Source organism: Homo sapiens, chromosome 12 (assembly GCF_000001405.40).
Source record: "Homo sapiens chromosome 12, GRCh38.p14 Primary Assembly".
NCBI classification, from domain to species: Eukaryota; Metazoa; Chordata; class Mammalia; order Primates; family Hominidae; genus Homo; species Homo sapiens.
Genome location: NC_000012.12, coordinates 107,619,960 through 107,643,405, shown reverse-complemented (window position 1 = coordinate 107,643,405; position 23,446 = coordinate 107,619,960). Strand labels below are relative to the sequence as shown.

At 46.0% G+C, this 23,446-nt stretch overlaps 1 protein-coding gene across 8 annotated transcripts in view, besides 2 other annotated features; it reads right to left on the bottom strand.

Moving 5' to 3' along the window:
• The window catches only part of ABTB3 (ankyrin repeat and BTB domain containing 3), a 341,209-nt gene that overhangs the window by 16,237 nt on the left and 301,526 nt on the right, over nt 1-23,446 (bottom strand). For all 8 annotated transcript variants that reach the window (NM_001018072.2, NM_001347943.2, XM_047428301.1 and 5 more), the window contains 4 exons: nt 23,242-23,420; nt 8,016-8,121; nt 2,993-3,095; nt 1,235-1,316 (listed from right to left, as the gene is read on the bottom strand). In NM_001018072.2, coding sequence (NP_001018082.1) covers nt 1,235-1,316; nt 2,993-3,095; nt 8,016-8,121; nt 23,242-23,420 — 470 coding nt within the window. The remainder of the gene's footprint in view (nt 1-1,234; nt 1,317-2,992; nt 3,096-8,015; nt 8,122-23,241; nt 23,421-23,446) is intronic.
• Nucleotides 6,825-8,024: an enhancer, noted in NCBI's record as "CDK7 strongly-dependent group 2 enhancer chr12:108029159-108030358 (GRCh37/hg19 assembly coordinates)". NCBI's record gives its function as "activates an origin of replication core promoter dependent on BRD2, BRD4, P300/CBP, MED14 and CDK7 cofactors, with strong dependence on CDK7, by STARR-seq in HCT116 cells {active_cell/tissue: HCT116}" and the evidence as "EXISTENCE:reporter gene assay evidence [ECO:0000049][PMID:35650434]".
• Nucleotides 10,780-11,979: an enhancer, noted in NCBI's record as "BRD4-independent group 4 enhancer chr12:108025204-108026403 (GRCh37/hg19 assembly coordinates)". NCBI's record gives its function as "activates an origin of replication core promoter dependent on BRD2, P300/CBP, MED14 and CDK7 cofactors, and independent of BRD4, by STARR-seq in HCT116 cells {active_cell/tissue: HCT116}" and the evidence as "EXISTENCE:reporter gene assay evidence [ECO:0000049][PMID:35650434]".

Sequence of the window (23,446 nt, the reverse complement as noted above, 5' to 3'; positions counted from 1 at the left end):
TTTGAGATAGGGTCTTGTTCTGTTGCTCAGGCTGGAGTGCAGTGGTGCGATTATGGCTCACTGCGCCTTGACATCTCAGGTTCAAGTGATCCTCCAGCCTCAGCCTCCTGAGTAACTGGGAGTACAGGTGTGTGTGACCACGCCCGGCTAATTTTTGTATTTTTAATAGACAGGGTTTTGCCATGTTGCTCAGGCTGGTCTAGAACTCCTGGGCTTAAGTGATCCTCCCACCTCAGCCCACATTGGCCTCCCAAAGTGCTGGGATTACAGGCATTCTATAAACTCTATCCCCAGGTCACCCACATTGTCTTATGAACCCTGGAAGATGGGAAGACAGCCTGGCAGGATCAAGGGGACTACACAGCCTTCATGTGCCTGGAGGGTCTTGGAGCTGTAGAAATACAGGTGCAAAGCCGGCTGGGGAGTTGAGTGAATTTCTATTAGCTGCAAGAACGTTGTTGCAGAGCAGGATTTATGAATCAGGCATAATTGAAGGAAGGTGGAAAAGCGAAAAAAGCTGCGGTGCTCCTCAGAAAAACCACATAAACCAAAACTCATTGTTCATGGCATGAACTCCCCCCAAACAGAAGGAGAAATGGTCATGTCATCTGGCCTTGGACCAGGAAGCCTTCCTTTCCTAATTGGGGTAGATTTAGACTAATGCTAAAATGATACAAATTCCCTAAAGTACAGCAGCTCCTGATGACGCTGAGCTCAACCAAAGTTTTGGGACTTCGCACATGCTGTTCTCTTTGTCTGGAATGTTCTAACCAACTTTCTTGAGCCCTATCCTTCCTGTGGCTCACCAACTTCTCAGTCTTGGATGTTTTAGCTCATAAGACCTCATCCAAGAGGTCTTCTCTATTTCCCCTGGTCTGAGTTGCTGCAGCATGTTGGCTCACGCCTCGAGTACTCTACTGTATACTGTAATTGACCAATTACTCAGTCACTGTCCCCGCCCCCCACAGACTCTGAGTCCCCAGGAGAGGACATCCTTTATCCTTGTGTCCCCAGCCCTTAGCACAGTGTCAGGCATAGCAGGCACTCAGTTAATGCTGCAGGGATGAATGGATGGAAACGGAAGGGGCACTGTGAGGAGGGGCCGGGAGTTCAGGAGACTGACAGCTCATTCCAAGGACTTCTCCAAGTGGCCAATCCTCAGGCTGAGGATCTGAGGCAACCACCTGTGCCCTGTGCCAACCAGCACAGAGGCCAGGCCACACCAGGGGCTCACCTGAAAGATGGAGTATTTCACATAACCAATCTCTATGCAGGTGCCATCATTTGTCGGCTTGCTGGAGAGGAGTGCTTTGAACCTGAACAAGGACATAAAAAAGAGATAAAAAAGACTCACACACAAATCCATGGCTCACAAAAAACTCTGCTCTCCTGACAATGGAAATACCTTGTTTCTTCCCCTGCAAATCTGAAATATAGCACTGGTATATCCTTACATTTCTTAATTTAAACCCTCCTATTATACCGTAATCTAATTTGAAGTTAAAACTCTAAAGTTAAAAAACAGTGTTTTCAACAATTACATTCTTTCTCCAACTGGTGATTGGAAAAGAATGAGTGCCTGTTAAACCCTGTCCATCTTTCAGGGCCTGTCACGTGGCCGCCACCTTCATGGCATCTCTCCTGAGCCTAGGGCTATGGCTTCACTCCCTCCCCTCGGGTGCCCATGGAACACATTTTGCTCCATGAGGGCAGGGACTTCAGTGGTTTCTGTCTTTGCTACATCCCCACATCCTGTCCCAGTATGAACCTGACACATTGTAGATATTTAATCAATGTTTGTTGACTACCTAATCATCTCCCTTATGGGTGACTTTCTGTCTTGGGTTTTCAATGCACTTTCCTGCCCATCAACTAAACTAAAAGCTCTTTGTGGGTAGAGATCTTATCAATGGAACACATGGATAATGTTTAAGAATAAGCTGATATGTGTCTGTTTTTTTAAACTTATTTTTTGAAATTATAGATTTACAGAAGAGTTGCAAAGATAATACAGAGAGTTCCTGTTTACCCCTCACCCAGCTTCCCCTAATGTTAACATGTTACACAGCCATGGTACCTTTGTCAAAACTAAGAATATAACATTGGTACAATATTGATCTGGTTTGTCTATGCTGTCATGACTGAAAACTATGCAAGGGAAAACAAATTTTTCTTGCAGTGGCAAAGCAGACATCTGGGGTTTGTGTTTGGTTTTGGTGGGGGGACTGGAGATTCCTGGATGCTTTTAGAAATGCAGGGAGTGCTGGTCACACACATTCTCTTAGCAAACTTCCTGGAAGGAAGTTCCATTTCTGGGTTCCCAGTGTCCTTACCCAACTCAGGGACCCCCTGCTCGCCACCCAGCTGGGACGCTTGGTATTCTTCATTTCAGCATCATTCTCTCCTGCCTCCTCCTCATTTCAGCATCAATCTCTCCTCCGCCCCAGCCTCACTGCTCCCTGTTCAGGTCCCTGGACAATGTGGTTCTAAACTGTCAACCCAATCTCAACTCAAAATGAGAAGAAAGGGCAGTTGCAGAGCTGGCATAGAGGGTGAGCAGTTCTTCCTATTGTTACATGATACTACTGTCTGTTAACTCCACAGTTAGGGAAAAGTAAAGTCAGGATCTGTGAATTTCAGTGGCTTATGCCAAAGTCTGTTCCCTGACATTTGGAGAGTGGCTGTCTCAAGGCTCCTGTGTGTGGGGGTCTCAGGTTGTTCACTGCACAAGGCCACCTAGCCGAGGGAGCCAAAATCCAATCCATGTTCTGCTCCCAAAGCTCGGCCCCCCTGGCCCCTTTATGTGCCCAGAGGAGAGGGCCCCTTGTTCTAGGTTGTTTATGCTAGCAGCTTCCCTGTACTCTTGAATTCTTGATTTTGTGAAGATGACCAGCCAGTCCGGCGAAGAGACCACCAAAATTGAACTTCAAAAAATAGTAATAGCAACAGCCAAAGTCATAATGCAGCTGCTTTCAAAACCGATGATACGTACCTTGGAGAGGCTGTAAATAACAGCACTTTGTGAGCATAAAATGGTCTTCCTTCTACCAGAAATGTAACATCAGACATTTCTTTATTGTTAAGAAAATGAGGATCTGGAATAGGAAAGGGAAAAAAAGGTAGCTTTAGTGGAAAAAAGGATGAAGTTTAGATTTATCTTGTAGAAAGTGCAAATAAGAGTGAGCAAGGAAATCTTGGTGATAAAATACTCTTTGGCAAGACAGCAACCAAACAGCAGACAGGACTAATCAGAGGAACAGTCAAGTCACTGAAATGCAGTTTTTCATAGGAAATCCTTATAGCTTATTTGTGATTAAAAGTAGCATTTCCCCAGAGAAGACTCACCTATAGTCACCCACCCACCTTGTCTCTAAGAATGCCACTCATCCCCACTTCTGCTGCTCTCTCTCAGGGCTCAGCGCCCTCCCTGCCCAATGGAAGTGGTTTAGAAGAGCTGTCCCCTCACCACTGCATTCCAGGTGATTTAAGTCCAAGCCTTTCCCTATCAGGGTCAGTGACAAATGAGCCTGTTCCCTTCCCTCATTTTCTAGAATAAAGAAGATTTAGCTACTACTTACTGAGCACTTATGATATGCAACCTGGTTGCACATTATCCCTACTGTGCAGTTGAAGAAACTGAGGCACACAGAATTTACAGTGACTTGTTCAAGCTAGTGACTGGTGGAGAAGCTACAATTTGAACTTGGACATTTTGATAGGATGGCCTGCTTTGTTAAACACTAGGATCCTCCGATTTGCCTGTCATTTCAGCCCTTGAGACCTGAGGCTCCTGAAGGTGCCAGTCTGTCCTCAGCTCAGCACTTCTGTCTTGTTGAGAATATCCATCATCACCCCCTGTCCTCCTAAGTGTTTCCTGAATCTTCCATTTCCCTCTATTCCCTTTGATATTACCCTAGTTTGGGCCACATCCTCTCTTTCTGGGAACTCACAGGAGCCTCTGTTGGTCTCTCTGCCTCCACTCTTGGCCCCTCAATCTGATGACCCACCTCACTGCAGGAGCCATCCTTCCTAAAGCTAGCTCTGATCATGCCACTCCCCTCCTCTGCTATAAATCATTCAATAGCTCCCCATTGCTCCCAGGATAGAGTCTAAACGTCTTAATGAGGCCACTTGTGACTGGGCTCCACTGCCTTCTCTGGCTTCTCCCTGTCAAACTGTGTGTGTGCTTGAGCAATGGGTAGCTCTCAGTTCCCCATGAGTGCTACGTGCTCTCTCCCCTCTGGGGCTCTGCACACACTGTTCCTTTACCTAAAGCACCCTTCCAGCCCCTTCCAAACCTGGCTCATCCCTAGGTGGTCTTCAAGTTTCAGACATACTGATCAGACACCCTTGGTCAGTAAGCCTTGCCAGATTCCCCCACCTTCCCCAGACCCAGTAGCCCCAGCTGAGTTCCCACAGCATATGCACCCCTGCTGTAGCCTCATCATGCTATGATGTATCCATGTCTGTCCATTTCAAAGCCTTTCATCTGTGTCTAGTACGGAAAGGTGGTAAAGTGTAGTAAGAGTGTGGGCTCTGAGGCTAGAAATCTCAGCTCTGTAACCTTGGCAAGTTATTTAGCCAACCCATGCCTCAGTTTCTCCTTCTGTAAAATGGAAATTGTAATACCCATTATACTCCATCACAGAGTAGTGAGGAATAAACGAATGAGTGAATTTATGGAGAGCACTTAGCAAAGTGGCTGACAAATAAGTATCCCTCAATAAACTTGACCATTATACTATTAGTAGAGGTTCAATGGATGTTTTTCGAGTGAATGAAAGAACGCCTTGACTCCTGTTGCAGAAACTTGCTCTAGGAGGCTGCCGAGGACCCGGGGAACCTTCTTAGCCTGGAGGCCCCTTTGTTGTTGATGGTCCCTTCCCCAGGGGTTCAGGGGCTGTGCTGAAAAGAAACCCCACTGCTTCCTATGGCTGGATTTATGGGTTGTCCTAAACTATTGAGGGCAGGACCAAGCCCCTGTCTTCCTGGGGGCTGTGACCACTCAGCTGTTGGGCTCACCCTGGCTGACTGCACCTTGGGGCCCTGGTCTGGCTGCATTTTCCCCAGACTGCTGTAACTTGGACCCAGAATTTGCCTTCCAGACTGATTCTCTTCACTCAGACCCTGAACCCTGTGCTGCCCAGACGGTGGTCCTGGTGGTCCTCCACTCACCTTTCTCTGTCAGTACAGAGCTACCTCACTTCTTCTCATTTTTTAAAAAAAGGCTCTTACTTTAAAAATATTAGAAAAGTATAAACGGTAAAAATCACCTGTGTAATCCCACTTTCTTTAAACATTTTAATTAAAAAACTCCCCCCAGAACTTCTGAAATGATCCAGATAAAGGGAAAAGAGGCTGCAGGGGAGAAGGCCTGAGAGTTGACGAAAACTCATTTCTTCACTTGACTTTCTCTCTGCTCGGTAACCTGCCTCCCTCTGCTCACCTATCACACCCACTGTTCATCTCCAGCTAGTCCCCCATTCCTGCTTCCCAGACTGTTAATATCCTCTACTTTTACTTTCACCACTCTCTCCCAGAATTCATTGGGAGGGCAACAGGACACCATACCACACACACACACACACACACACACACACACACACACACACACACACAAAATCAGTGCTCTCCGATTTGCCACAGTCCCCACCACTCCCTATTGTCTAGCGCTGAATTCATTTCACTCGTTTATATCACCTGCCTGGTCCCACAGAGATGCCGGTTTGAGATCCTTGTCACTGATCATTCTTGTCTTTCCTTTAAAGCAGGTCCCTAAAGAACCACTATTTGGTGACCTTTAGTTATGCTAGCTTGAGCTGCTAGACTGAAGACACAAAATGTACCTGCTGTATATTCCATTTGTTAATAACTACATGATGCTTTTTCTTTTATATCATGAGCTTTGAGCCTCTCAGGTCTGCCTTTTCTTTTCTTCTTGGTGCCAACCCTTGGAATTCTAATGCTTGGGCTGAAAAACAGGCACTTAAAAACATTTTTTTTTTAAATTTTTTGAGATGGAGTCTCAATCTGTTGCCCAGGCTGGAGTGCAGTGGCATAATCTTGGTTCACTGCAACTTCCACCTCCTAGGTTCAAGTGATTCTCCTGCCTCAGCCTCCTGAGTAGCTGGGACTATAGGCATGCGCCATTGCGTCCGGATAATTTTTTGTATTTTTAGTAGAGACATGGTTTCACCATGTTGGCAAGGCTGGTCTCGAACTCCTGACCTTAAAAGTAATGACAAATAAATGAGTGAATTTATGAAGAGCACTTAGCAAAATGGCTGACACATGAGTATCCCTCAGTAAACATGACCATTATAGTAGATGCTCAATGGATGTTGATGGTATTTGATTTGCCTGCCTCAGCCTCCCAAAGTGCTGGGATTACAGGCGTGAGCCACCACGTCTGGCCCCAAACCAGAAACTTTTAACTGCTAGTGAAAGAAACCTCAGCAAATTCAGGAGGAGAAAATGTTCCCTCCCTTCCTGTAGCTAAGGGAAAGCAGATTTTATGCCATTGAAACCGACCTTGCAAAAGTTTGCTCTAAGGAGGGTGTCTTATGAGGCACCTAGACATCAGAGATTGTTGCTATGTCCTGGGAATGTACCCCTCACTCTCTAATGTTTGCTAATTTGACTGGTCTTTATAACGTGTTGCCCTGATAACATTTTAATTAATACCTGTTTTCTATAAGGGAGAAGTACTTGGGACTTGGGCACATCCCAGTTTTCCTCTACACATGGTCAGAAAGATAGACAGCCTTTGACTGAGCTGCTAAAATTTTCCATTTCAGCAAAAAGTTGTGTCTCATTTAAATTAACAAGTTATTCAAGATGGGAACAAAAATAACTTTAAAATAGTCCCATGAATTCAGCCTTTTAATTAATCTAAACTGGCTCATCCCTTTCAAATTTTGCTAAAGAGTAGAAATTTCAGTCTTCTATTACTCAGATGTCCTTCAATTTTCTTAGGAAAGGGAAACAGGAAGTAGGAAAAGTCCCCAACCTATCTAGGGAAAAAGAATCCTTTATCTTTAATATCTGATAAATCTCCAGGTAGCAGGGAGACAGGCCCTTGCAACAGAAGGCTCATGTTTCAGGCCTCAAAGCAGCCTAATATTCCTTCTCCTTTTTGTAGGTTGATCAACTCGGTTGCAACAGCCCCAGGATCCTCTGAAAGAACCTAGTGCCTGATGGAAAGGTTTCTTCTGAAAAATCTCAGAAGCTGGGACTGCAGAACGACAAAATTACAGCTTCCGGGCACACCTGTGTTCAAGTTCCAGCTTCACCCTCTACTGATATTGCAGCCATAATGTACTGATATTGCAGTCACAGTGCCTGCCTCTTGGGGTGGCCTGAAGATGACTTGAGATGGGGTAGGTCAAGTGCTTGGCTGGAGCCGGCACAGTGCACGCCTCCCAGAAGAGGTTATTGATACTCTCATGAGACTTATAAGCATCCAGCCTCTGCCGCTCAGGTATGTCCCCTCATGTTTTTATGGGAGTGTGTGTGTGTGTGTGTGTGTGTGTGTGGGTGGGTGGGGGGGGGGGGGTTGTTCCTCCCTTCTCCTAGTTTCCTGTAGAAGGATCTCCACTAGAGGAACAGCCCTGGCCCCTCACTGTCTCCTTCTCATTCCTTCTGAGTGAGGAAGAAGGACTTTTAGAGGGGAGAGTTTGGGGGACAGAGTTGCCACGTGCAGTGTGGACTTCTTTCAGGAGCCACCTGTGTGGGGGATGTGTATGGAATCAGGAGGCCTTTGGCAGCCCCCACTGTCTGTGTCTAGGGGAGAAAGTCCCTTTAACTGGCAAATCTCCTTGTCCACATTCCCAAGGTATGTTCTCCAGTGTCATCACATAATAAAGGAGAAATTCTGATCTCCCCCGGCCTGACTCCTGTACTGACCTTGTTTGCCCTTGAACCCCCTCCCTCCTGGCATTCCTTATGGCATTCTTTGGCTCCTCGTCCTTAAATCACAAAGCAGCAGCCAACACAGGCCTGGGGGAACCACTCACCCAAGCGCGAGGTCTGTTTCCGTTTGATTTCTGTGAGCTTGGGGATGGGGTAGGGCCCGTAGCAGTGTGTGAAGATGACGCACAGCTGCTGGCTGATCACTTCATTCTGCAGAAAAGAAAGAGGAGGTCATGATACAGGGGGCTGTGGCCAGCCTCAGTCAAGCTGTGCCCCAGGAATGCGTCCCTCCAGGTGATAAGAGCTCACACATTTACTGCAGGCCACAGGAGAAATCCCCTGGGGTAGCACAGAAGTCGTTTGCATTCATGGGTCCTGGATTTACTTGCTCTGTTTTGTCCACTGTCTATTTCTAGTGGGTTCACTGGTGAAGCTTAAGAAATTCTTCTCTCTGGCCCTCATGATTCGCTACCTACTGGAAAGCAGGTTTTTGTAGTTCATAGAGAATGGAAAATAAGTTTTTACCCCAAACCCACCTTTACCAGTACTCTAAAATTCTGGAAGCAGTGAATTATCCTGAAATTAGCAGGATTTCAGGAGAATTATCCTGAAATTAGCCCTTTTGATCCTGTGACTGTGTTCTCCATTAACGAGACAAACGCTCCTGATTCAGCTTTCTTGTGAACTTGATTCTGGTGCTGAGGCATTTCCGGACCCAGAAGTGCTCAGCTGAATCACTGGCTCCAAACAAAAGGTGGGAGGGAACTGGTTCTGCAACCCAAAACTACAGCTGCCCTTCAGTGCTGGGGACACACGCGCCTGCTTGTCCTTGACCCTCATCGTTCACGTTGACCTCTTCCCACTTTGCAGCCATTTCCGTTCATTAATCTCCCTCCAGCTTCAGGTGTATCGGAGGAAAAACGAAACAGAGCATTTTGTTTCTTTTTGTTGGACAAAGGGTGTTGAAACTAGGGGCTCAAAGGGGTTACATTGAAAAATGTTTACAATAGATTAAGGAAGAAAAGTAGGTTACAACACAGTTTGTACCATGTCTTTTTGGCAATAAAACCCTCTACAAATATATTTGGATTGACAGATATGTATAGAAAAAGATCTAAAAAAATAGAGTAGTTACCTTTGGGTGAGATGAGGATGTTTTTTCTTTTATTTATATTTTCTACAAGAAACAAGCATTGCTTTTGTGATAAAAACAATAAATATTCTTTTGAATTTTAAAAGATGGGTTTGGGGCCACTAGTGATGTGAGTGGTTCAAGCTGTTCTTAAATCTACCTACTTCATTGTGTTCCCGAGGCAGAAGCATACAGCTTGGCATACAAAAGAAAATCCAAACCCTTCAATTAAAGTGGGTAGATCACAGAAGGAACAGTGTCACCTCAGATGTGATTCACAGAGGCATAATCATAGTTGAAGGACAAAGAGACTCAACTTTCAATGACGAGAGGCTTTATAACCAAAGGGCATTCGGTGCTCCCCTCACTTAATACTCATAAAAATAACTGCCTGCCTATCGGCTTAATGCAGTTCTTCTCAAAGTGTGGTCCCTGGACCAGCATCACCTGGGAGCTTATTAGAAATGTAAATGCTTGGGCCTCGCCCCAGACCTTCTGACTTAAAAACCCTGGGAGTGAGGCCCAGGCATCTGCGTATTAACAAATTTTCTGGTGATACTGACATTCCCTTAAGTTTGAGAACCACAGGTTCCATGCACTGAAATTCTGTCATGGGTTCGACCTGGGCTGTGGGCTATAAATTTGTTTCCTCTGGCCTAAAGCCCTGCCACCCAAAACGTGCTCCATAGACCACAAGCAGTAGCATCCTCTGGGATCCTGTAAGAAATGCACACTCTCATTCAGGCCCACTGAATCAGAATCTGCATTTTTAACACACTCTGCAGGTGACTCCCATGCACATTCATGCTTGAGAAGCACTGTGTGGTAAGAATAATTATGGCCTCCTAGAAGATTGCATGCCCTAATAACCCCTGGGACTGGGACCATGAACACGTTACTTTACATGGCAAAAGCGACTTTGCAGGAGTAATTAAGGTTAGTGCTTTAGTCCATTAGGGCTGCTAACAAAATACTCTAAACTGGGTGGCTTATAAAGTGCAGAAATTTATTTCTCACTGTTCTGGAGGCTACGAAGTCTAAGATCAGCGTGCCCGCAGACTCGGTGTTTGGTGAGGGCCCACTTTCTCATAGATGGTGCCTTCTAGCTATGTCCTCACGTGGTAGAAGGGGTGCTGAGGCTCCTCTGGGGTGTCTTTTGTAGACCTACTCACCTCCCAAAGACACCACCTCCCAATATCACCACCTTGGGGGTTAGGACTTCAACATTTAAATTCTGGGGGGACAAACATTCAAGAGCATAGCAGTTCCTCATGAGTTGACCTTCAAATAGAGAGATTATCCTGGATTATCTGGGCGAGCCCAAAGTAATCACATGAGCCCTTAAAAGTAGAAGCAGAAAAGGACTTCAGACGGGAGGGGGGAGAACAAGATGACAAAGAGATCCCAGTCTGAGAAGGACTTGATGCTCTGTTGCTGGCTTGAAGATGGAGGGGCCACATGGCAAGCTCGTGAGGGGACTCAGGTAACCACACTAGGAGTTAAGTGTGACACCAACAGTCAGCAAGGAAGTAGGACCTCAGTCCTACAGCCACAAGGAACTGAACTCTACCCAAAAATCTCTGAAAGAGCTTGGAAGCAATTCTTCCCCAAAGCCCCCAGAAAGGAACACAATCCTGCTGACTCCTTGATTTTGCCCTTGAGATTCTAGGCAGAGAACCCAGCTGGGTCACACTGCACCCAGATTTCCAACCCAGAGAAGCCATGAGATAATAAACAGGTGTTGCCTTACGCCTCTGAATTATGGTCATTTGTTACTGCAGCAATAGAAAACTAACACATCTCATCTAAAGTTTACATCTATTGGACCACATTTCATCATCTCTGTGATCCAGAGTGCCAGACACATAGTGGACACGTGGTAAGTACTGGCTGGTCATAAAAAAGATAAGACCTGTTATCTGCAAAAATGCTTTGTACAGACTGTATTATGAAGGTTAGGGATGAGGTCTCACTCATCTACACCAGGGTGTGTCTCGTGCATCTTGCTGGTGAATCAGCTTCCTTCTAATCAACTCCGAGTGAAGCAATAAGAACCCATTTCCTGGACTCTTGTGCCCTTGAGAGAGGCATGTACAGTCTGTAGACTCTTTTGCGAGTTTTTCTTTTTTGGCGGACAGCGGTGGTGGTTTAACTCGATTCAGGAGGTATTGATTAAACATGGAAGAGGTGTCCTGCAGTGTGAAAGGCACTCTTTTGGGGCCACAGAAGCAGGCAAGGCAAGACCCCTCCTCTGCTGGAACTCACAGTTGACCTCTCTTTCTAACTTCAGTGTGTACTCTATCATCTGAGAATGTAAATATAAGGGCTGGCCATGCTTGTTCCAAATGGACAATCTTCAAATACGTAACAATGGTCAGGGGGAGGTGCAACTCCCCACTTTTTAGGTGAGGGCAGTGCATGCTCACTGCATTCCAAAGAGGACGGTATGGAAAAAGGGGAAGAGAGGAAGTTTACAGTAGAGAAACTCGACAAACACTGCCTCAGCCAGGTGGCTCAGGTCAACATCAATAGTGATAACTCACCTTGATGGAATGTGCCCTTGATAAGGTGTCTTTCTCTCCAGGGTTTCCCTCTGAAAAATCCATAACCCCAGTCTAATCATGAGAAAAACATCAGGCATATTCCACTAGAGGGGCAGCCTACACATGCTTGACCAGTGCTCCTCAAAACTTTCAAGGTCACCCCAAACAAGGAAAGTCTGAGAAACTGCCTCTATCGAGAGGAGCCTAAGAGATATGACAATGAAGTGTAATGTGGTACTCTGGATGGGATCCAGGAGCAGAATAAGACACCAGGTACGAACTAAGGAACTCTGGCTATTTCTCAAAGAACTAAAAATAGAGCTACCATTGGACCCAGAAATCCCATTACTGGGCATATTCCCAAAGGAAAAGAAATCACTCTACCCAAAAGACCCTACCTGCACTCACATGTTCATTGCAGCACTATTCACAACAGCAAAGACATGGAATCAACCAAGGTGTCCATCAGTGGTGCACTGGATAAAGAAAACATGGTAAATATACACCACGGACTACTATGCAGCCATAAAAATGAATGAAATCATGTCCTTTGCAGTAACAGGGATGCAGCTGGAGGCTATTATCCTAAGTGAATGAATGTAGAAACAGAAAACCAAATACCCCATGTTCTCACGTGTAAGTGGGAGCTGATCACTGGGTACACATGGAAATAAAGTTGGGAACAACAGACAATGGGGATCCAAAAGAGGTAGGAGAGAGAGAAGGAAGGAGGCAAGGGCTGAAAAGCTACCCATTGGGCCCTATGTTCACTATCTGGGTGATGGATTCAATTGAAGCCCAAACCTCAGCATCATGTATATCCATGTAACAAACCCACACATAAACCCTGTGAATCTAAAACAAAAACAAAAACAAAACCCTAAGGAACTCTGAATAAGGTCTGGATTTTAGCTCATAATAATGTATCAATATTGGTTCATTAATTATAACAAATGTACCATAGTAATATAGCCTATTAATCATAGGGAAAAGTGAGTGAGGGGGTATATGGGAACTCTCTGTACTATCTTCTCAATTTTTCTGTAGATCTAAAACTGGCCTAAAAAAATAAAATCTATTTTAAAAACCCGGTGTGGTGGTGCATGCCTATAGTCCCAGCTGCTTGGGAGGCCAAGGATTGCTTGAGCCCAGGAGCTCGGGGCCCGCCTAGGCAACATCATGAGACCCTGTCTTTAAATTTTTTTTTTTTTAATTGGGCATGGTGGTGTATGACTATGGTCCCAGCTACTCGGGAGGTTGAGGTGGGAGGATGGCTTGAGCCCAGGAGTTTGAGGCCAGCCTAGGCAACATGGCAAAACCCCACCTCTAAAAATAAATTTTAAAAACTTCCTACCATGGAAATATGATTATAATGGAAGCAGTAGAAGTTCAGAAGAGAGAAAGAGGGAGGGTGGAGGCTTTAACTGAACATCAGGGGGCTCCCTACACTTCATCCATTCATTCGCCAGAGGTTTAGGGAATGTTTCCCCACTCACTAAGCTACATATTCACTCATTCATTCATTCATTCATTCTCCAAATATTTATTGAGCGTCTACTAAATGCCAAGCACTGGCTGGTTCCCGGGAGCTGGACATTGTGCAGAGGATTAGGGTGCTACGCCGTGGTGGCACCAAAGATGCTGCCTTTTACGAGGCTTTCTAGCCGCTTCTTTTTCAAGGAACAGAGTCCTAAGAGAAAACTCCCCGCTGCATCCTTGAATCTGTCCATGTTTGTGGAGGTGTCTGCCCTGTGCCCTTCCCAGTGCTCCTCCTCCAGGCAGTGGAGCACCAGTGTCATCTGTCCTGGTTACCTGGGACCCAATACGATTCTGAACTCCAGGAGGGCCCTTTTGAGTGTGAGGGGTGGTGTCATTCGTATCAGGTGACTGCTGTCAGGGGGTGAGATCCATAGGTCAGACTGTGATGATAAGCTGGGTTATCCTATGGGCTTGGTAAGTCCTGGATCAAAACCCAAAGACAATGGAATGGAAGCAACCAAACTTGAGGCTTGCTCCATTCTGGAGGCGGGAATGAGTGGTGGTTGTGCTGGGTCAGATGCCTGGATTCTCTGAGCAGCACATTTAAGCACAGTGCTTTAGGCCAAAGGGATAACAGGCTGCAGTCTCAGGGCAGCAGGCCATTTGGTCTTCACATGCAGGGTCTGACCTGGGAGGCCAGGATGAGTCCAGGAGGGTGGGTGGGTGGGGGTGGGGCCAGGCCTGAGGACACAGTACCCGGTTAGTGCATGTTACTGGCATGCTGCTGGGTACTTGCCATTCAAGTCCCTCACAGAAAATTCTAGATGTGCACATGGAGTAAATTCAGGTCCTCTGGACTCAGAACTGTGTGGTCATACAAAAGAACTAAAGGGGAGTGAAGCAAAATTCTTTTTTTTTGAGACAGGGTCTCTCCCTGTTGCCCAGGCTGAAGTGCAATGGTGCAACCCCAGCTCACTGCAACCCTGACCTCCTGGGCTCAAGTGATCTTCCCACCTCAGCCTCCCAGGTAGGTGAGACTACAGGTGTGCACCACTGTGCCCAGCTAATTGTGTGTGTGTTAGTGTGTGTGTAGATGAGGTCTCACTATGTTGTCCAGGCTGGTCTTGAACTCCTGGGCTCAAGAGATCCTCCTGCCTCGGCCTCTCAAAGTGCGGGGATTACAGGCATGAGCCACCACGCCTGGCCCTGCAAAATTCTTAATAGCATAGTTACCAGGAAACTCTCTTGAGATGGAGTCCTGTGAATTTGGGGGGTGACATCTTTCCTCTTCTCCTTTGACTCCACTCTTCTCCTAAAAAGATGTGGAAATACTTCCTTTTCTTCTGAAAGGAGCACTAGGATTACTCCCAAAGGTCCTTTATAGGTGGCTCAGGCTGGAGTTCTATGTGGTGGTAAAAACATAAACAATGGGACCAGATGGAGGGGGTCCTAGTTCTGGCCCTTCACTCACTAGCTCTGTAACCTTGGCAAAGTTACTCAGCTTCTCTGGGCCTTGGTGTTCTTTTCCAAAGAGGATTAAAAATACTTGCTTGATGAGGTTGCTATGAGGGCTAAAAGAGAATGTATCACCATATGCTGTTAGGTTGAATGAAAGTGCTGCTATTTGACCATTTTTAACTCCTAAACAGCAATTTCCCATAGTTGAACCTCATCCCTTTTTTTAAGATGTCATAAAATTCATGTCAGATTTTAAGAAAAGAAAAAAAAAGCCCTCCTTATTAAATGTACACATCTATCTTCAGACCTGTTTCAAATGGAGAAATGCTCAAATGTGAAAAAAGCTGTGTCTCAGAATCAAGAGAAAGTAGAATTACTGTTACTTTCAGGGACACTGACAGCAAGCTCTCTATCTTAATCCATGTCAAGAAACTCACTTTGGCCAGGTGTGGTGGCTCACGCCTATAGTCTCAGCACTTTAGAAGGCTGAGGCGGGTGGATCACCTGAGGTCAGGAGTTCAAGACCAGCCTGACCAACATGGTAAAACCCTGTCTCTACTAAAAATACAAAAAATTAGCCAGGCATGGTGGCAGGCACCTGTTAATCTCAGCTACTCGGGAGGCTGAGGCATGAGAGTCGCTTGAACCTGGAAGGCAGAGGTTGCAGTGAGTGGAGATCGCCCCACTGTACTCCAGCCTGAGTGACAAGAGTGAAAGTCCATCTCCCTCCCCCACCCCCCAAAAAAAGACCCACCTCTACAGATGGCTCCCTTGTGGAGCAGGCTAGGCTGCGTTATGAGGAGTGAGCACACCTGGAAAGGTGGAGGCAGGTGGAGGGTGGGCTACCGGCCCCAGAAGGATCCCAGCAAGATCCTGAGGCCCTGAGTGCAGCACTCATCTTACTGCTAATTGTGCAGTCGCACATCTACTTTGATGTGTCCCTTCTACTCCCAGCAAGTGATGTAGGGTATCCACTTATGGTAGTAATATGTTTCAAACACATTTAAGAAAAAGATCAAGTAAATAATAAATTGCATCGATGGTATTTTTACCTATTTCATGCTTTCTTTAAGTAGTACTTTTTCCAGGTCTGGAAAAGATTCTGATAGCAGGATTCAGATGACTGGGTTGGGATATTCACTGGGCTAGATGATTTCCAAGGTTCCTCCCAATGCAGATGCTAGGGGCCCATGACTGCACCTGACTTGGGACCATCTTCCCACCAAAAGAAGTCACCATGGCTGCAGGCTATGTCTGCTTCTGCCCTTAAGGGGGATGAAGCTGTCATTTCACAGTGAGATGTGCACTGCAGGTAAAACCCTGAAACGGAGCAGAGTGACAGGGTGACCTCACAGTTAAGAGCATGGGTTTTGTGTCTGGGTCAGGATCCTGGCTCTGCAGGGTGACCCACTCTTGGGCCTCAGGGCTATCATCGCTAACATAGGAATAAAAATACAACTACCTGCTTCCCAGGAGCTGATGAGTAGAAAGTGCCTGGAATGGCACCTGGCACACAGTGGTCATTTTCATTAGATCCGTGTCCAGGCTTAAGTGCCTGGGGCAGGTCACTTCCTAAGCTCAGGTCCTGACCATAGAGAAAAAGGAGGCCAGAGGGATGGTGAAGAACTGAATGAGGAGAGGGGAGGGAGTGAAGAAATGAAACAAGGAGGTAAGAAAGACAGGCCCAATCAGTTGCTACACACAAACTTGTCCCTGGGGTCTATAAATTAAGAATTTTTAGCAAACTGTTTTACTAAATCTTATTTTCAAAGGTTTTGAATACACACTGTGACTTTCCTCTCTTAGATGGTTTGACTGCAGTTTTGTGTGGAACTGGGAACGTGTCAGTTGGCTTTCTGTTTTTAGAATTAAATTAATTTTAATTTTAATTTTTATTTTTAGAGATGGGGTCTTGTGATGTTGCCCAGGCTTGTCTCAAACTCCTGGACTCAAGTGATCCACCTGCCTTGGCCTCCCAAATCAGATGACTTCTTGAGCTATTTGATACTTTTGGCATTTGATCCTATGTCTATTTGGTAGTTGTCATTTTGTTCATGGTTAATTATTAGAGAGGTAGAGGCACAAAGAGATTAGACCACTCCTTAGAGGCTTTATGGATCCCATTTATTATTTTTTTCTGCTTACATGGAGGTTTTTGCTTTTGGTGACATGGATAGTCACTGTCCAACTGGGGGCTTTGGAAACAGACTCACTTCTTTGAGGGTACCTGAGATCCCAGATGGTTTAAGAAGATGACAATAAATCCCAGCACTTTGGGAGGCTGAGGCAGGCAGATCACGAGGTCAGGAGATCGAGACTATCCTGGCTAACAAAGTGAAACCCCATCTCTATTAAAAATACAAAAAAAAATTAGCCGGGCATACTGGTGGGTGCTTGTAGTCCCAGCTACTCTGGATGCTGAGGCAGGAGAATAGTGTGAACCTGGGAGGTGGAGCTTGCAGTGAGCCGAGATCGCACCACTACACTCTAGCCTGGGTGACAGAGTGAGACTCTATCTCAAAAAAAAAAAAAAAAAAAAGATGACGATAGTACCCAGCAGTCAGATTGATCTTTTAAAAACACATGATTACTTCTGCTTCGGGAAGATGTAATAGACATACTTTTCCCTAACCCTTTTGCAAAGTGCAACTAAAAACTCTGGACATTACATATAAAAGAAACATAAGAAGACTTTAAAAGGTAGAGAGAAGGCGGCAGACGACCTAGGGAGTTTGGGACTGGAGGAGCAGCACAGTTGTGGGTTCACTGGACTTCCTTTTCACCTCATCATCCCATACTTGACATTGAAGAAGCTGCAACTGAGGGCACAGATGGGGAAAAAAGCCACAACAAAAGCCTGCTGTATCTAGCCAAAGGACCACTAAAGGGATAGCCTAGAAGGCAGGAAACTTTTAGACAATAGCTGCTCTACTCCAGCCGAACAGCACAGAAAACCTGTGGACTCACCTTGCCAGCAAAAGTCAAGTGGGAAGGCTAGACTTCTACTCTTGCCAGGCTGCAACACGGCACCCCTGACACTGAGATGGTGTCATCGAAGGTCAAGTAGGGAGCCAGGATTTTTATCCCCACCAGCCAGTAAAGAGTATTGCCCCCACCCCCTGACACCCAGGTGTCAGTGGAGACCCCCTTCTCACCCAGCAATAATGAGGCATCCCTCCCACTCCCTGCTGGGGTGGTGTTAGAGGATGCCACTGGAGAGTCAGACTCTTACTACTGCCCAGTAGTCATGAGGCCACCCCACCACATGTCAGAGAAGACTACGTGGGAGCCAGAGCACTTACCTGCCCCCACCTACCCCCAATAACTAGACCCTAACTTGGGTGCCAACAGAGGCCAAGTAGGGGAACCTGGATTTCTACATACACCTGACAGTAATGAGGTGACAGCCACTCTTCCCCTGTCAGAGCAGTATCAGAGAAGGTCAGCTAAAGCAGAAGGTCTAAATAAGATCAAGAGCCTCAGAAAACATCCAGATTTCAATCAAAGAGCACCCATAATACCATGGACCAAGAAGATCTCCAAGTGAATGAATAAAAACATAAATCAATGCCAGCATCAAGATAGCAGGATGAAAAGACAAGCTACAGAGTGGGAGAAAATATTTGCAAACCACATATCTGACAAAGGACTAGTATCTACTATACATAAAGAACACTCAAAATTCAACAGTAGAAATGCAAACAATTCATTTAGAACACAGGCTTAAGATACAAAGAGACATTTCACTTGAAGAGAATACACAGATAGTGGACAAGCACTTGAAAATATATTCAACATCATTAGCCATTTAGGGAAATGCAAATTAAAACTACAATGAGATATCACTACATACCTATCAAAATGGCTAAAATGAAAAATAGTGACAACACCAAACAGTGAGGGTATGGAGCAACTGAATTACTCAGTCTTTTCCAGTGGGAATGTAAAAGGGTACAGTCACTCTGGGAAACAGTTTGGCAGTTTATTTAAAAACCAAACATGCAACTACCATACAACCAAGCAGTTGCACTCCCAGGCATTTACACCAGAGAAATGAAGATCTATTCACACAAAAACCTGTGCGTAAATGTTTGTAACAGCTTTATTTGTGATAGCCTAAAACTGGAAACAACTCCGATGTCCTTCAACAGTTGGGTGCTTAAACAAACTGGGGTACATCTATTCCATGGAATACTACTCAGCAATGAAAAGGAACAAGCTGCGGATACATGCAACAACCTGGATGATCTTCAGAGAATTATGATGACTGCCAAAAGTCCAATCTCCAAAATTACATACTGTATGATTCCATTTAAATCACGTTCTTTAAATGACAAAATTAGAGAAATGGTGGCTAGGTAGGGGCTGAAGGGTGGAGGCAGGAGGGAAGTGGGTGTGGTTATAAAAGGGCAACATGAGGAATCCTTGTGGTGATGGGAATTTTCTGCATGTTGACGATCATGTCACTATGTTGGTTGTGATATTTTACCATAGTTTTGCAAGATATTGCCGTTGGGAGAAACTGAGATCCCCCTGTGTAAATGGTACACAGGAATCTCTCTGTATTATTTTTTACAACTTCATGAATCTACAATTATCTCAAAATAAAAAGTTTAAAAACAGAAACATTTTAAGTTTTGAGTTTTTCATCAAAAAATGAAAACTTGAAAACTTAAAAAAAAAAAAACCCCACCGATCACACTTTGCCCCTATCTAAAACCTCTCTCGTTGTGTCCCATTCATTACACATAGAAGAAAAGCCAAACTTTCCCTGGCCCAGTGCAATCTAATTTTTATCTCCTACACTTTTTCCTTTGAGCACACAAAGCACGTTCCTACTAGGAGCCTAATCACCTGCAGTTCCCTGACATGGAATGCTTTTGCCCTAGATCTCTGCATGGCTGGAAGCTTTTCCTCACTTAGGTGGTTTTTCAAATGCCACTTTCTCAGGGAGAACTTCCTGACCGTTTCGTCTAAGTTAGACCTCATCAGCCCCACCCCCAGAGACCATACCATGGTCCCATTTCATTTTGTAAACACTGATCATGCTCTGACTCTGTTTCGTTTATTTATTTTCTTGCTTTTGGTCAGTAAGCTCCAGAAGGATAAAGAACATGTCTGTCCCATCACCACTGTAGTGCCTGGAACCAAGTGGGCACTCCTGATTATCTCTTGATTATGCCCAGGGGAATGATGTGTTAGAAAAATAAGCTAGAGGCCGGATGTGGTGGCTCATGCCTGTAATCCCAGCACTTTAGGAGGTCGAGGCAAGTAGATCACCTGAGGTCAGGAGTTCGAGACCAGCCTGGTCAAAATGGTAAAACTCTGTCTCTACCAAAAATATAAAAATTAGCCAGGCATGGCGGTGGGTGCCTGTAATCCCAGCTACTAGGGAGGCTGAGACATGAGAATCGCTTGAACCTGAGAGGCAGAGGTTACAGTAAGCTGAGATCACACCACTACACTCCAGCCTGGGCGACGGAGTGAGACTCCATCTCAAAAAAAAAAAAAAAAAAAAAAAAAAGGCCAGGCGTGGTGGCTCACACCTGTAATCCCAGCACTTTGAGAGGCTGAGGTGGGCAGATCACGAGGTCAAGAGATTGAGGCCATCCTGGCCAACACGGTGAAATCCTGCCTCTACTAAAAATACAAAAATTAGCAGGGCATGGTGGCGTGGGCCTATAGTCCCAGCTACTCAGGAGGCTGAGGCAGGAGAATTGCTTGAACCTGGGAGGCAGAGGTTGCAGTGAGCCGAGATTGCACCATTGCACTCCAGCCTGGGCAACAGAGCAAGACTCCATCTTAAAAAAAAAAAAAAAAAGACAAATAAGCTGGGAAGTCTTTTTAAACAGATGTATTCAAAAAAATGAATATATTGTTCTGCTCCTGGGGAAGTCTAGAGACACTGAATTCATTTGAAGTCCAAATTTAGAAACAAGAACATAGAAGCAGATGTGTGGTCGGATTTCAAGTATGGTTTGAGTGAGCACAAACCAATAATGGTGGGACGAATATGCCTCATTTTACAGGACAGCTGTTTCTATAAGTTGAACATAAAGTGGATTTATTTGCAAGAATCTATTCACTACTCTGATAAAACAAGATATTTGGCCAGGAGCAGTGGCTCACACCTGTAATCCCAGCACCTGGGGAGGCTGAGGTGGGAGGATTGCTTGAGGTCAGGAGTTCGAGATCACCCTGGCCAACATGGTGAAACCTTGTTTCTACTAAATATTAGCCAGGCATGGTGGTGCATGCCTGCAATCCCAGCCACTTGGGAGGCTGAGACACGAGAATGGCTTGAACCTGTGAGGCAGAGGTTGCAGTGAGCCAAGATCATGCTACTGCACTCCAGTCTGGGCGACAGAGCGAGACCTTGTTTTAAAAAAGAAAAAAAAAAGATACTTGTTTGGACAAACATTTGAACAGGAATCCTAAAGTGCAGGGAGAAGGAACAATGCTGGCCAGCTCTGTGATGATGGCTGCCCTATTGTCCGACAGGAGACTGTCTTCTCAACTTGGAATTTCTCTGTCATCATCTCCCTCCAGTTTTTCTTTTGACCACAAGAATATCCCCCATGCTTGGGGAATGGGTGACTTCACCCTGCAGGCTCGGGGAAATTATCTCCTTTTTTAACCTCCACCTACCCGCTCCCACCCCCGGCCAGTGGTCAGTGCATGTGATGTGTAAAGCCACATTTCACCAGTAGGGGATGCCATTGAACCCCCTGTAAAAGCAAAACACACTTCACTGGCTCCCTGCTCTTGAGACACGACCACGCCCAGCTATTTTTTTGTATTTCTTGTAGAGGTGGAGTTTCATCATGTTGCCCAGGCTAATCTCGAACTCCTGGGCTCAAGCAATCCTCCCACCTCGGCCTCCCAAAGTGCTGGGATTACAGGCATGAGCCACCATACCCAGTCAGCCTGATTTTCAAATGACTGACTATTAAACGATGGGAGCACCCACCACTTCTGTGAATGGAGGGTATTTTGTATGCTTCAGCCTGTAGATTCTTATAATCATGGGCTCAGGTTCTGAGAACTATTTCCTATCTAATGAGCTGTCCAAGTCAAACATTGTGGCTCCAGGCAAAACAAAGTGTGGTGTTAGATGTCGGGAGAGTGGCGGCCCTTTGGAGGATAGCAGTGGAGTAGGGTGTAAGGGGACCACTTGGGTGCTAGTCGTGTTCCATTTCTCAGTCTGGATGAGGATTGCACAGTTTGTCTATCTTATGAAAATCCATTTGGCATCGTAGTTATGAGCTGGGCACTTTTCTGTACGTATGTCATACCTCAAAGTAAAGTTTACTTTAAGAACGCACAGGTTAGTTTTACTTAATACACAGAATGTCTCAATAAATTCTGGAATTCCCAGTATAGGCTGAAGAAAAGTTAAAAACAACAAACAAACAAAACCTCAAAACGATAGAACCCAGACCCTGGGAATGTTTCTCACTAAGACAGTTTCTTAGGTGATTTCAGGTGAAAGTCTCTTTATTCAGCTACTTATTTTTAAGTCAGGTGGGGAGTTTGGTTTTGAAATGCTTCCAGCAGGTTTTACTCCTCACGGACTCACCGAAGCTTGTTACCCTAGGCCTGGTGCACCTGCTCCCATTTGGGGTCCTGGTGGGTCTTGACCTCAAGCACAAATCTAGCCTGCAGGTGGCCCAGGGACACCGGGCTAAGGATGGGCGCTAATGAGAACACCTAATGGGACTCGCTTTCCACCCGAGGCCCAGAGCTCTGAAAGCAGAGATGCTGTGTTGCTGCCTCCTTACTGAAGGGCCATCCCTGCTGTGTGGAGGAAGCAGCCCCATGTCCCCTCTAATGCCCCATGGACAGTCACACAGCCCAGCCCGGCAGGGGGACCCACACTGCCCTTTGGTTCAGAGGCCAATTTCCCCTGAGACTTCCCAGGCTCCGTAGTAGACCCCAGAGTTCCACAAAGGCTGTTCTGGGGCAAAGAGGTGAGAGGGCTGGTGCTGGGGCCCTGCAGGGACTGGAGTGTCTAGAGAGCATCACCAAAAAACCCCAAAGATATTTTTAAGAATTAATGTTGTAATAGTCGAAAGGCTGGCCTGCTGTTATGAAGAGGCTGCATTTCTCTGTTGCTGGGGATACAGGTGTCAGCACGGGTGAATCCCAAGGGGTCAGAGCTAGGTTCATTTGACCCTCTCGACCGGAAAAGCCTTCTCCCAGGGCCTGGCTTTTCAGAAACCTCAGCAGGGTCTGTGTTCTGTTTATCCAGAAAGCTGCAACCATTTCCCTCATCCTACCGATTCCTATCGTCCATCCCCGCGTGGTCTAGTCACAGCACCTCAGGGTACCCACCCTCCCATTCCTCCTTCCTGAACTCCCACACCTCTCCTAGCCTGCACCCCCAAATTTAATACTGTTGTACCAACTGTTTCATAATGCTGTTGGGGCACACATGTTGGTATCATCTCTCCAGCTCTTCTGCAAGTTCCTTGAGTTAGAAGATATCTAAGCAGTCCATGTGCCCAAGTGCCTTAGCTCATGTGGATGCTCAGCAAGACAGCTGCCCACAAATGAGTGCACAGGTAGCTTTCGTCTGCTGGGCTACATTCGCCACTGGTCGCTATGACCGTAGTGATCCCACTCAAAGGGGAACAGCAGGCTAAAAGACCGTTCAGATCTGGGAACCTCCAGCTTTGTTCTCTGCCGATGACCACAACAACCTCAAACCCCACATACCTTGCTCGCTTTCAGGATCTCAAACATCAGGGGCAGGCCTTGGGTAACGAGCTCCTCCGTGTATTCCTCCTCCTGAATGGTCTTAAACTCCTTTAACAAGCACTGGATGAGAGGCCTGCGGTGCTGCTGGAAGGCGATCCGCAAAGACTCCAGCCACGTGTGCAGAGTCCACGGGACGCCTGGAGCGGGGAGAGGAGCCAGGGAA